Consider the following 13,856-nt stretch of genomic DNA (forward strand, 5'->3'; position numbering starts at 1 on the left):
AGAGAGAGAGAGAGAGAGAGACCGAGACCAGAAGCCTGGCTGGTAAGAAATTCTTACCTTTTTGTTAGCTTGCCAGGTTTCTGGTTCCCTCTTCCTGAGTGGCTTTGGTGACCCTGCATGCTCTGCTATAGCTGTGGGGGCCAAGACGTGTTACAAAAGAAAAATCATCCTTTTTCCATTTCATAGAACTATAAAAAGCCTATCATTAATATTTCCCATTCCAGCCAGAGTGATATACATATAAGAACACAGACAAAGACAGACAAGAGGCCTCTCAGAACCAGAATCCTGACCAGAAAAGTGTTTTTCCAAACAAGCCCCTGTTCTCCATCTAAGTGGAGAGAAATCTCCCTAAACCAAGACTCTCTGTACAATCTAAGGAGAGCTAGGTTGGCCCAAAAGGCGCCAACCAGAACAGGAGAAGGAAGAGGATGTTGGTAGTGCTTTGTACACTCACCAGCCTAGTTTAAAGACATCTTCCAGTAACTGTTTCTTCACTGCAATTAGGCCCAAGCACTATGGGTTGACCGCGTCTCATTGGCAGAGACCGTATCAGAGATGGCCCTCAGTTCGAGACAAATAAGAAACGCCCGAGCTCACTCCCAGTTCCATTGTACCAGTGGAAGGCTGAGAGATAGCAGACAGGCACCCAGAAGGGCAGATCTTGGACAAGCCCCTAAATGTGTAATTGCCTGATGGGCTCTTCCTGACTGCTGCATAGACAAAATCAACTTACAGAGATCACGGCACTGCAATAAAGAGTTTAATTAATGCAAGGCCAACTACATGGAAGAAATGGCTCAACTGACTGAGTGAGACTGATTTGAGTGAGAAGCGACTGATTTGAGTGAGACTGATCACTGCCCAAAGTCTCAGAGGCTAAAGCTTTTGTGGACAATTTGGTGGACAGGGGGGCTAGGGAATGGAGACTGCTGCTTAGTTGGGGATGAAATCATAGGGGTAAAGAAAACGGTCCTCATATACTGAGTCTGCCTCATATACTCAACTGGGCCACAGGACCAGATGAGTCATGAATCATGGGTCTGCATGTGGTTAGTCTGAAAAACATCTCAAAAAAACCAATCTTAGGTATTACAATAGTGATGTTATCTGTAGGAGTAACTGGGGAAGTCACAAATCTTGTGACTTCTGGCCACATGACTCCTGAGCAATAAGGGATTATAAAAACTACACCTACATCTTAACAGAACTCAAGCTCCTCCCACAATTCTAATCTTGCGGTCTTTCACTAGTCTTAAAAGGCAGTTTCAGATTGTTTCAACAGGGGGGATTAGTTTTAGGAAGGAACTATTATCATCCTAGCTTCAAAGTTAAACTATAAAATAAATGCCTCCCAAGGTTAGCCTGGCCAATGCCCAAAAATGACCTAGAACAGCCTGGAGGTTAGAAGCAAGATGGGAGTCAACTATGTCAGATTTCTCTTGCTGTCATAATTTTGCAAAGGTAGTTTCAAAAAGAACTATATATCAATATAACAAATGATTTATGATCTTAAACAATGTTAAAAATCACTGTAAATCCAAATTATGTCGCCACAGAAATTATATCTATAAATAGAAAAAGCATATGAAAATTCAACTAACAAGAACATGCTGTCTATCTAATATACATCCAGTATCTTCCTGGCTATCATCAGGCACTTGGCACAAAGATGTTTGTGTTCACTGTTATATCCCAAACACTTAGAGCAATGTCATTTAGAATAGTTGATGGCTCATAGTAGCACACTTGATTACTTGTTGAATGAATGAACAGGGCTACTATAAAAGAATTTGTCTTAACAGAGCTTAAAACCCAAGATTAACATATTACGTAACAATAAATATACATATTAAAATAATATTTGAGCACAAAATTGCACGGTACTATGAATATGGGTTGTAGAATTTTTTTAAATTGGATAAAGTTTCATAGAGTAGATGAAACCTAAAGACAGAAACTAAAATCACAGAAAAGTAAAGAGAAGGGAATTTCAGGCTAAATGACAAGTGTGAACACAGAAGGTATTTGCAACAGCAAAACGCCTACCTCAACCAAAGCAAACTTACTAAATAAAAAGGAACTGTGGAAAATAGGATGAAGACTGAATTTTAGCTCCTTGAGTCTTTAAAACCAAGAGAAGGTATTTAGCTGAAATGTTTAATAGAAAGATCACCTAGGACTTCTAAACAGGCAGGGGCAGGGAGCTGAAATAATTCAAGTAACACATAATGAAAATTAGATATAGCGATATATTAATCAATTAAAGATAAAAACTAAGAATAAGATAAATGTCGTTGAAACAAAAGGAAAGAACAAAAATCTACTTCAGAAGAAAATCAAACTCTGAATGTGACTGAACATAAAGTATAACAACTGTAGAATAAAACTGAGGAATGTTTCAAAGGTTATTTCAAGATGTTTTAGTTTGGATGATTGGTAGAATACTAGAACCACTGACGGGAAAAGGTGTAGACTGAAAGAAACTCACGAAGAAGGCTGACAAGCTTCAGATAGGCCTCCCAAGGAAAGCACCTTGGGTGCATCCTCGGCTTTTCCGAACACACGGCAAATAGGCTTTTGCTAATACATAAAGGATGATCAATCTTTATGTATTGGAGACTGGTTGTAATAAGTTTGTAAGAGTTTTGTCACTTAACATACAGTGAAACAAACTATGAAGTGGATCAGATATTTAGGTTTACTAAGTGTTCCATTCGATTACTGTCTTAATGATATACTGGAAGCCAAATTAGAAACAGGATGCTTGGTGAGTAGTGATTTAGGGCAGAAAGCAGCAAATATCATTAAAGCATATTTCATTCAAGGAGTGATGAAAGTCTGATGAAATATACAAAATACCACACTAGAGGGTAGAATACTCTCAAACCCCAAATAATTTTGGGTAAATTACATTCAATTCTAGCTATTTTTATTGATACACTCTTTCTTTAGATAAAACCTATCTAAAAATTACTCTCTTTGGATATGTAAATACCATTAATTTGGCTACAATCTAGTCTACCATGGGTCCTGGAGGGAATACTTAACTTATTTCTTTCATCGTATGTGGATTTTATCAAACACTTTAAGTGTTAATCACTCCTCACTGCCACCTACAAATAAAATATAAGTGGTATGGTAGAGATCAATCTCCAGTGTTATGGGAACACTCCAATAGAGTGATTAAATATACAAGGGAAGTCTATGAAATACTGGTTCACAGAGGTGACATCCGAACTAGTTTGACAAGGTTAAAAAGAGTATTCCACTATCAGAACAGGAAAGGAAGAGAAGGTCAGGCAGTTATACCTACCCGTACAAAGACAAGGAGAACAAATGGCACAATCCAGAAATAATGTGAAGTTCCACATGGCTAGACTTTAGTATGGGTTGCACACAATGGATTCTTCTGCAAGTACTTGGAAATAATCCCAGGATATAAAGCCTGGAAGTAACCAAATCAAATATGTTTGGAGAAATGACTCTGCAACTATAATGGGAAAAATAAATTGAAGGGGTAAAAGTAATTGGAAGCAAGGAACTATATTAGAAATCCACTGAAATAGTCCAAGCAATACCATAAAAGCTTGAAGCAAAACAGCTTTTAAATCAAAAGCAAAATTTTTAAAATTAAAACTTTTAGAGAAAAAATAAATTAGGCATGAGATTAGTAATTATCTCTGTAAGTTTCAGTAAAATAAGACTTAGGTGATTATGTAAAGATAAAATGGAAATAATGGGCATAATCATTGGATAAACTAAGCAATAAAAGAAAAATCTGACAGTTACTAGAATACATATATATATAAAATATATTTATTATAAGAGAGAAATGTACATGCTTGAAGCAAAAGGGAAGGAACCAACATTAGGGAGGTGCTGAAGAGTTAAATGTGGGAATTTAACTGCTTAAGGGTCAGAAATAGATGAGATCAAAAACATAAAAAAGTTTATCTATTACAAGATCTCATATATCCTACTGAATTGAAAGCACATATAGGTATGGAGATGTATTAATTCTGAAAACAGAGGTCTCACAGTTTATATGAATTTGATCAGGGTAGTTGAAAAACTAGGTCAACGTTCTAGATGTCCTACCTTCCAGTAGATAGAGTTATTTGAAGAACTTATTATAGATTATTTCAAATTTCAAAATTCAAAATTCTCAGATCATCTCCTAAGAACCACAATGGGGTAAGGAGTTGAGCTGTAAAAGAAAGGAGAGGAAGAAGGGACAGCTAAAATTTGTGAAAATTTTGACAAAAGAGGAACATAGAATTGATTGAATGATTGCCAAGCACCTGCAAATCTGCATGATTCAGCATATTAGGTAAAAACATCAGAAAAATGATTGATTTAGCAGGATGTGGTGGCTCATGTCCATAATCTCAACACTTTGGGAGGCCAAGGCAGGAGGATTACTTGAGGCAAGAAGTTCAAGACCAGCCTGGGCAACATAGCGAGACACCCTTCTACCAAAAGTAAAAACAAAAAAATTAGCTGAGTATGGTGGCATGTGCTTGTAATCCCAGCTATTCAGAAGGCTGAGGTGAGAGAATCACTTTAGCCCAGTAGGTTGAGACTGCAGTGAGCCATGAGTGCACCACTGTACTCCGGCCTGACAAAGTGAGACCCTCTGTAACTGTAAAAAAAATTTTAAGGGAAAAAAAAAAAAAAGATTGATCATCATGGGACATTATACAGGTTACAAGAATAGGAAAATCCAGGATGATTAAGTGGGTAATCAAAAGAACCAAAGAAAGCACCAAAATGGACAAGGTTTGAAAGAAAAATTTGAAGAATAACCACACCAAGATCAGGGTCTTCAAAGGAGGAAAAAAATGTCATGTCATAAGATAAAAACCAGAATTACCACTCTGGCAATGTGACTAAGAGGTCTAGAAACTTGAGAAGAAAAGTGTGATGAAACTATGTATGTGGAACTGATGGACCCAAACTGGGTTTTTGAAGATGGTTATTTCCAATAGGTTCTTTGGTAGGTCTGAGGACTGTCTAATCCAGAAGAGAAATTCTCCCATATAATGCCAAAGCTGATAAAAGCAGCACAAAACAATCATGAAGAGACCAGCAGACTTCCTTCCCATAGAGCATCTCTGGTATCCCACTACTGTGGCCTTCACTGGTTTTCTAACATACCTGCAGCGCTTACAGACACAGTAAACTGGACTGGAAGTAAAAAATGGGGGCCTATACTAAATATGAAATGAAAGAACAGAAGAATTTGGTAGAAAAGCAGCTAAAGAATAAGAACACCTATTGATATCTAATGTACATTTATTGGTTGAATCCTATGAAATTGCTAATACTTAATTGTCTTGACCTACAAAATGGCAATTTCATATAGTTCATCTTAATATTACAAATAGAATTATAAAACATAATTGTCAACAACTATAATTTGAACTCAGATTTATCTATTTCCAAATTTAATTGTTTACAGAATTAATTGGGTTTGTCAGCACTGTTTTACAGCATAAAATACATTTTTAATTTCCTTAAAAAGTGAAAGCATAATTTTTTTGCCATTTTCTAAATCAGAAAAACAAGAAATTTAATGTCCTTCCAAAGGTCAAAAAGCATAAATCCTCAATACCTCAGTACAGCTTTTTGACCCTTTCAAAGGTCAAAAAGCATAAATCCTCAATGCCTAGATACATTCTAAATTTTTTAAAGATTAGAACTACAACAGTAGAATGTGTGAATTTGATGTAACTATCTTAAAAAATACCAGCTCCAGACTTTCGGATAAAGATGACAATATAAAGTCATTTATCAGATTTTGATTAAATTTAGAAATAAAAAGACATTTTCCGCAGTATAAATGACAAGGCAAATGGAAGACCAACAACAAAGAGGGAAAGGAAAAAGATACTTTTTCATAACAATAGAAAACATTCTAATTAAACACAAGTCACAAACCATTTTAACATATTGGTGTTCAAATTAACAGTTGTTTATTTTAAAAGATAACTTTCCACAGTTAAAAGAGGTTGAATAAATAATGTAATATCTCATATAAAGCAATGCCATAGTCATTAAAGTGTTGACAAGGAACAAAATATTCTTAAACATATTAACAAGCCACTTAATCTCTAGCCAAGACATGCATAAATGTTTCATTACAGTACTAAAAAGTAACAAATAAAAGGTTCAATGGAAGAAAGCTTCCTAAATTCTGTCACTTTTCCTTAAGAGTATTTTCTGACATTATAGAAAATATCTCTACAGGTATGTATTCAAAGAAGTCATTAGCCAAAATCAATTAATGAAAAGACATGTTTGACATGTACAAATCAGTTTGTTTAGACCAACTGCTACTGAGTCTTCAACATTCATGTGCACTATAAAACGTTCATTGACTTTCCAACTTCTACTAAAGAACATATGCGTAACTCCAAAATAACCTGTATCATGCTCAATTGTGACCACTAACTTAAGGGTCTCTCCCCCTTGAAAATGGCATTCATCTCATTTCTTCAGCCTCCATTCCCAGGAGGGTGGGAGATGGCAGATATTAAACACAAGTTGAATAAATCTTTACCTTTTGATAAAATAAATGGATAAAGCATAAATTTTTCCCACTGTTCTTCATTGCATTCAGGTTCCTACTGTGTGTCACACACTAAACTTTAGCATAAAGAAAATTATTCACTTTAAGAGTAAAAGACAATATATTGTGCTTTCTCCTTTCTCAAAGGAAGGAGTACATCTGTTTTTACAAGACAATCTCCTCATTTTAATGAGATAGCTTTGTGTTACAAATACTTTCCTTTTAAGACCAGGTGCAGTGGCTAAAGCCTGTAATCTCAGGGCTTTGGAGGCAGGCAGATCACTCAAGGTCAGGAATTCCAGACCAGACTGGCCAACGTGGTGAAACCTCCTCACTAGTAAAAATACAAAAATTAGCCAGGAGTGGCAGCGACAGCCTGTAATCCCAGCTACTTGGGAGGCTGAGGCACGAGAATCGCAAGACTGGGAGGGGAGGTTGCAGTGAGCTGAGATCACACCACTCACTGCTCTCCAGCCTGGGCAACAGAGCAAGAATTTGTCTCAAAAACAAAAACAAAACAAAACAAAACAAAAACACCTTTCCTTTTAACAAACTAAAAATCAAAACTTTGCTCAAAGTGCACTGAGAAAGCTTCATTAAATAAATTTAATATAAAAATTTCAGCTTAATTAAATTTTAAGCCATACACAAAAGCCAAGAAAATTTGTTAAGTTAGGTAAATGCATTCATTGTGAATATTTTTAATGCATTAAATAATTAAACACACTAGGATCGAAGTAGTTCCGTCACTAACTAGCTACACAGCAATTAGAAAAGCTCTCCCTGGGATTCTTTCCTTATCTACAAAATGACAAGAGCTGGCAAATGATCTCCAAAATACCAAACAGATCATGTTGTCTATGATTGCAATATTTTAGCTAAATACACAATTAATCATTGGCATTCACAGATTTAACATTTCTAAACCACCATCAAAGCCTGTGTAATTATTGCTAATGGCAATGAATAATAATCCATTCTCATAAAGATTAAATAAGCTAATATTTATAAGACCTGAAAGGAAATCAGAGTTCCAAATTAAAGGAGTAAACCTAGCCTACCACCCATCATATTCACCTCAATTAGTAGTTTGTGGGAATTTCTCTTAAGAAAGACTTGTGAATGCCAACAGTTCCATAGTTTTAAAAAAGATCTATCTCTCAGATACGTGGCCAATTCTCTCTTTTTAAATGATTCATTTTCTTTATAACCTGAACATTTTCTTTTCAGTGGCTATCAAGAGAAAGAACTATGATGACATTAAACACTTCTGATAAGAATGATTAAGTGGGAAGCTCTCTATTAAAATCAAGAATAAGCATTCAGTAAATGTTAGTTGAAATCAAATTAGAAAATAGTTTTAATCATCAAGAACTAAATGTCTCAATTAAAGTTATGACCTGCAGTACAATGAATGTTTTTAAAGCGTGCTTATCTGTCCCTATTGACTAGAAAACATATTTTGTTGGCAATTATTTCTAATTCCAGTTATCCAGGCTCTTTTCTACTTTTTCGTAAAGATTGTGATAAGAAAAGACTGCTATATTCGACACGCAATATCCTACCCAAACAACTAAACTGTCTAGTAATAACTGATACAATGAAGCTTCATTGTCCTGATGTTAATTAATCTCACAGAGGAAGGGAGGAAGGAGTAAGTATGCATTAATTTAAACAAATAAAATTCTAGTAATAAATTTAACCATCAATAAAAACAAACCTTTCAAGAAAAAAATGTCATGCTTTCTCTCTTGACCAAGGGCGAATGCAGAAACAAATGGTTCTAGTTATGGAACACGAATACTTAAATACATATCCCCATAAACCATAAGAATTTGATCATTTATATTCATTGTAAAAAGGCCCAAAATCTCCAGAAATAACAAAAATACTCAATAATAATCAAGTTAATGAAGTTTTGGCTTCAGTAACAGAACCTTGCTGTATGACTTTTTCTTTTAGAAAAAGAAAGCAGGAAACTATGGCATTGCTTTTTCTAAGTGGTTCAGCACATTGGGGCAAATGGTGGCAATCACCAGGTAAAAGATAACAAAAATCAGCTAAGCGCTGTGTAAAGGGCAGACATAAGATAGCTATATAAACAAATAATTTAGATTAGTATTTCAAAGGGCTTCTAATTACTTATCACAAAGATAAAAGTATTAATCTTACTTTAAAAACAGCCATAGCCTTACAGTATCAAGTACTCACGGCATTAACTATTGGCAATCTATAATCATACATTTATAAAATGGAGCAGAACAGCTTGTTGAAGTTCCTTCTTCATAAGCCACTTCTACTAGTAGAGAAAAATCTCCCTTTCTCTTTGCAGTGCCACTTACTATTTATCTCATCTCCTCTTCACAATCCGAACCTCTCTACTTCCAAAAATTTACAACATCCCATCATTATTGTCTCTTTCCCCTAAAGGATTTCTGTGATAAGTAAGTAAATAAGTAAATACCTGTGAAGCAGTAACATGGGAATATGACCTATGAAATTCTCCTAGCAGTAAAATCCCTTAAAGGAACTATGTCTGCTGAATGTATGGAAGGGAAGGCAAGGTACTCTACAAGATTACATTCTTCTTTGCAACCTGAAGAAGAAACAAAGTTCTAATTGAAAATAGCCCAAGTGGAAAGAAGAGTCCTCAGGAAAAGAACTGGGATAACCGTGAGATAGGCTTGGAACAAGTGTAACTCACTAAGTGCTTACACTGATAAGAAATTCAAGTTCAGCACAACTCATCCCCAATTTCTCAAATTGCTCTTCAACTCATCAGTGTTACTAGAAGTGCATCTTCAGGCCTAAGAGAAACTAAGGCTTTGGTGTAAAGCAGTGCCTTCAGTGGATGCAGTTAAGGTAGAAGAAATATGAAAGAATCTTATGACTTACTGCAGCAGTGGCAGATGTGTTTGACACCTAGTTAAAAATGTCAATCAGTACTGCTATGCCGGATAGTAATGATTAATTGCTTGAATACTATAGAGATATATTAGGTGTTAACTAGGTTCGGGAAACATTTTCTAAAAATATCGTTACTAATTATGATTTCTATAGGAAAATGTTTTTGAATTTCAAACACTAGATTGAACTTGTGAAATTCAATTTTTTCATAAGTGAATCTTACTCAAGACAAACAAAAGACTGGCACAACAGCACAAGGGACAAGAAGCCTGGGTTAAAAGTCAAATTCTGTCATCTCTAGCTGTGTGATTTTGGAGAAGTTACTCCAATCTTGCTGAGCCTCCATTTCTACATCTGTAAGATAAAGGTTTAAAAAAACAGAATTTAACTACTTCATAAAGATTTAAATGAGTCAATATAAGTGGAATGTAGAATAATACCTGGTAAATATTAAATGTAAAATAAATGCAGCTGTTATCGTTATTGAGGAAAAGTAAAATTCAATTTCTTACCCAACGGACATACTTCTACTTACCCTCAAAAATCTAATCCAAACCTTTCTTTATGAAACCCTTCTTGAATTCCATAGAAACTGAATATTCCTCTCTTTGTATCCCATAATGTACATTCAGCTAAATGTTCAACAGTATTTCCAAATTTACATAATCAGAATCACAGAAACTTGAATCAAACTATAAAAATCATAGAATTCTAGTTCAAGCACACTTTCAATGCCATGTATTTATTTTTACTTTTCAAATAGTCATTTTTAGTTTTTATTTTTGTGTTTTATAAGAGTCAGGGTCTCACTCTGTTTCCCTGGCTGGAGCACAGCAGCCTGATGACAACTCACTGCAATCTCAAACTCCTGGGCTCAAGTGATCTACCCACCTCAGCCTCCCAAGTAGCTGGAACTACAGGTGCTTGCCAGCACGCCTCACTAATTTTTAAAACCTTTTGTAAAGAAGAGGTCTCACTATGTTGTCCAGATTGGTCTCAAACTCCTGGCCTCAAGTGACCCTCCTGCCTTAGCCTTCCATGAGCCACCATGCCAGGCCACTTTTCACAAAGTCATTTTTAGAAATAGCAGCATACAAGCACATCGATTTTCATAATGATTAAGAATTTTTTTAATTGAAATAAGATACTGAGATCCCAAGTCTCAAAGTAGCAAAAGTTTAAGTTGTTTCAGGTTTTCTAAATCTTATAGTTTATAGCCAAAACACAAAAGATATTTAACCTACTTTAACAACAGAACTACTACGTCTGTTTTATATAATTAAAAGATGTGAACATAAAAATCATTGGGTAAGTGAGTTGTAATTGTATTCTCTAAGAACTGCAATAACTTAAAAGACTAAAAATAGGTGGCATATCCTGGAACCAATAAGCAATTATAGCAAGGTTGCAGGATACAAAGTTAATATACAAGTCAATCACTTTCCTATATATTAGCAATGAACAAGTGAAATTTGAAATTAAAAATACTATTTACATTAGCACCCAGAAAAAAATGAATACTTTGGTATAAATCTAATAAAATATGCCAAGACCTGTATGAAGAAAACTACAAAACTCTGATAACTGAATTCAAAGAATAAATAAATGGAGAGATATTCCATGTTCATGAAAAGGATATTACCAAGGAGGCAGTCCTTCTCAACTTAATCTACAGATTCAATGCAATTACAATCAAAATCCAAGCAAGTTATTTTAAGGGTATCAAAAAAAAAGAAAAGAAAAGAAAAGAAAGAAATGTTCTAAGGTTAATTTGAAGAGGCAAAAGACCCAGAAGAGCCAACACAATACTGAAGAACAAAGTTGGAGGACTGACATTAACCAACTTCAAGATTCACTAGAAAGCTAGAATAATCAAGACTGTGTTATTGATGAAAGAAGAAATAAACAGATCAACAGAATAGAATAGAGGGGCCAGAAATAGACCCACATATAGTCAAATGATCTTTGACAAAAGGGCACAGGCAATACAATGGAGAAAAAAAAAAAACAAACAAATTTCACCAAATGGTACTGAAACAACTAGACATTCATGTGCAAAAAAAAAAAAAAAAAAAAAGACTCTAGACACACACCTTACACTCTTCACAAAAGTTAACTCAAATAGAACATAGACCTAAATGTAAAACACAAAGTTATAAAAGTCCTGTTAGATAACATAGATGGCTGTGGACAAGGCAACAACTTTTTAGACACAAAACCAAAGGCATGATCCATGAAAGAAAGAGCTGATAAGCTGGACTTCATTACAATTAAAATCTGCTCTGTAAAAGACAATGTCAAGGAAATGAGAAAACAAACCAGACCAGGGGAAAATATCTGCAAAAGACATATCTGATAAGGATTGTTATACAAAATATAACAAACTCTTAATTAAAACTCAACAAGAAAACAACCTGATTTTAAAAATGCACCAAAGACCTTAAAAGACACCTCACCAAAGACATACAGACAGCAAATAAGAATATGAAAAGATGTTCCACATCATGTCATTAGGAAAATACAAATTAAAATAAGGAAATACCATTATACACCTATTAGAATGGCCAAAATCCAGAACACTGACAACACTGAATGCTGGCAAGAATGTAGAGCAATGGGAACTCTGATTCATTGCTGGTAGGAATGCAAAATGATATAGCTTCTTTGGAAGACAACTTGTGGTTTCTTACAGTCTTACCATATGATCCAGCAATTGCACTTGCTGGTTTTTACCCAAAGGAACTGAAAACCTTTGTCCACACAAAAAACTGTACATACAGTTTATATCACCTTTGTTCATAATTGCCAAAATCTGGAAGCAACCAAGATATCCCTCAGTAGGTGAATAGATAAACTGTAGTACATCAGACAATGGAATATTATTAAACCCTATAAAGAAATGGACTATTGAGCTATGAAAAGACAGAGATGAACCTTAAATGCATATTCTTAAGTGAAAGAAGTTAATCTGAAAAGTCTACATACTGTAAGATTCCAACTATATCCAAACCCATAGAATGTACAACACCAAGAATGAACCCCAAAGTACACTATGGACTTTGGGCAATTATGGTGTGTCAATGTAGATTCATCAATTGTAAGAAATTTACCACTCTGGTGAAGGATGTTGATAATAGTAGAGGACATGCATGTGTGGGAGCAGGGAATATCTAGGAAATCTCTTGTATCTTCCTCTTAAGATTTCTGTGAACCTAAAACTACTCTTTAAAAAGTCTGCAAAAAAATTTTAATGCAACACAAAAATAAAATCTATTACATGAAATTTCATATAATCGATTACTATCTTTAAAAAAACACATTTCTATTATTTTTCTGTTTACTGTTTGGAAAGTTGACAGTAAATAAATTTATGGAAAGATTTATATAATTAAAAACAGTATGAGCTCTTTGCTTGCTTTTTAGATACACTGTACTACAATAATTTTACAGGAGCAGTTAATAAATATGGGTACCAGGCACGTGGGCTGAATATCTATGCATCCAAATTTGCTACAATGTCACCTCCTCATTGAAGCTTTCCCTACATGCCCTATCTAAAACAGGCATTTTCTATCCCCTTACTCTCTCTGTTAAATGTATCACAACTGACATATTACATGCCCATTTCATCATGAGATCATCAGCCTCTCCCAATAAATGAGGGCCGAGATTGTCTCTGTTTTTAAGCAGTTATATCCCTGTTGCCAAAAACAGTACCTGGCATACAGATGGTGAATAAAAACAAATGAATGATTTAAGAACTTTTTTTAAAGTTTGGTGAAACAAAAGGTACAGTCATTTCAAAGCCAAAAGAATATTCATTTCACCATGACTGTAAGGATTTCTTTTTTTCTATAACTCAAGAGTAAGTGGTATACAAAGAGTTTACACTTAAGTTTATTTCTAAAAAGTTCCTTTGAGACAAGCTGTATTCATTCTTACTAACATGGGCAAAACCACGTTAACAACAGTCAGAAAATAATAACTTCTCTCTTAGAAATGAACACTTTAGAATATCTTCTGATTTTCTGAAATCAACTTAATGCACTTTAAGCTTTTGTTGCGGAGAAAACAAAAGAACCAATTTTTTTTAAGTGGATCAAAGCCCAAAGTATCAACTAATCTTAAAAACCAACCTTGAACCAACCAAATATTAACCAAGAGAAAAGTCAGTCTATAACATTTTTTCAATTAGGCCTCTGTAGTAAGAAAGCAGTGAAGGAAAGCAGTCAGAAGAAAATAAAGTCAGAGAACTGAGAAGAAACCTGAATGTTTCCTCTAAAAGTTAACCTTAGTGGTTAACTGCTAATACATGACCGAATCCATCCTTCAAACTGCGCATGTCAAATTACCACTCAGCTGGCAAAAGGACCTC

The 13,856-nt window shown here is 34.7% G+C and overlaps 1 protein-coding gene across 16 annotated transcripts in view, besides 1 other annotated feature; it reads right to left on the reverse strand.

Moving 5' to 3' along the window:
- The window catches only part of TMEM161B (transmembrane protein 161B), an 83,276-nt gene that overhangs the window by 64,624 nt on the left and 4,796 nt on the right, over positions 1 to 13,856 (reverse strand). The window contains exon 2 of one of the 16 annotated variants that reach the window (NM_001289008.2): positions 9,039 to 9,170. The exons of 14 other annotated variants lie outside the window; for them this stretch is intronic. The gene's annotated coding sequence lies outside the window, so the exon portion shown is untranslated. Of the gene's footprint in view, positions 1 to 57; positions 11,537 to 13,856 lie in introns of those variants that run through there. One more of the 16 variants, XM_047416808.1, reaches the window with a different exon arrangement.
- Positions 6,802 to 7,455: an enhancer, noted in NCBI's record as "OCT4-NANOG-H3K27ac hESC enhancer chr5:87552812-87553465 (GRCh37/hg19 assembly coordinates)". NCBI's record gives its function as "activates a minimal SCP1, AML or CMV promoter by ChIP-STARR-seq in naive H9 embryonic stem cells {active_cell/tissue: H9 hESC(naive)}" and the evidence as "EXISTENCE:reporter gene assay evidence [ECO:0000049][PMID:30033119]".

The sequence above is a fragment of the Homo sapiens genome, chromosome 5 (assembly GCF_000001405.40).
Source record: "Homo sapiens chromosome 5, GRCh38.p14 Primary Assembly".
In the NCBI taxonomy this organism is placed as follows: domain Eukaryota; kingdom Metazoa; phylum Chordata; class Mammalia; order Primates; family Hominidae; genus Homo; species Homo sapiens.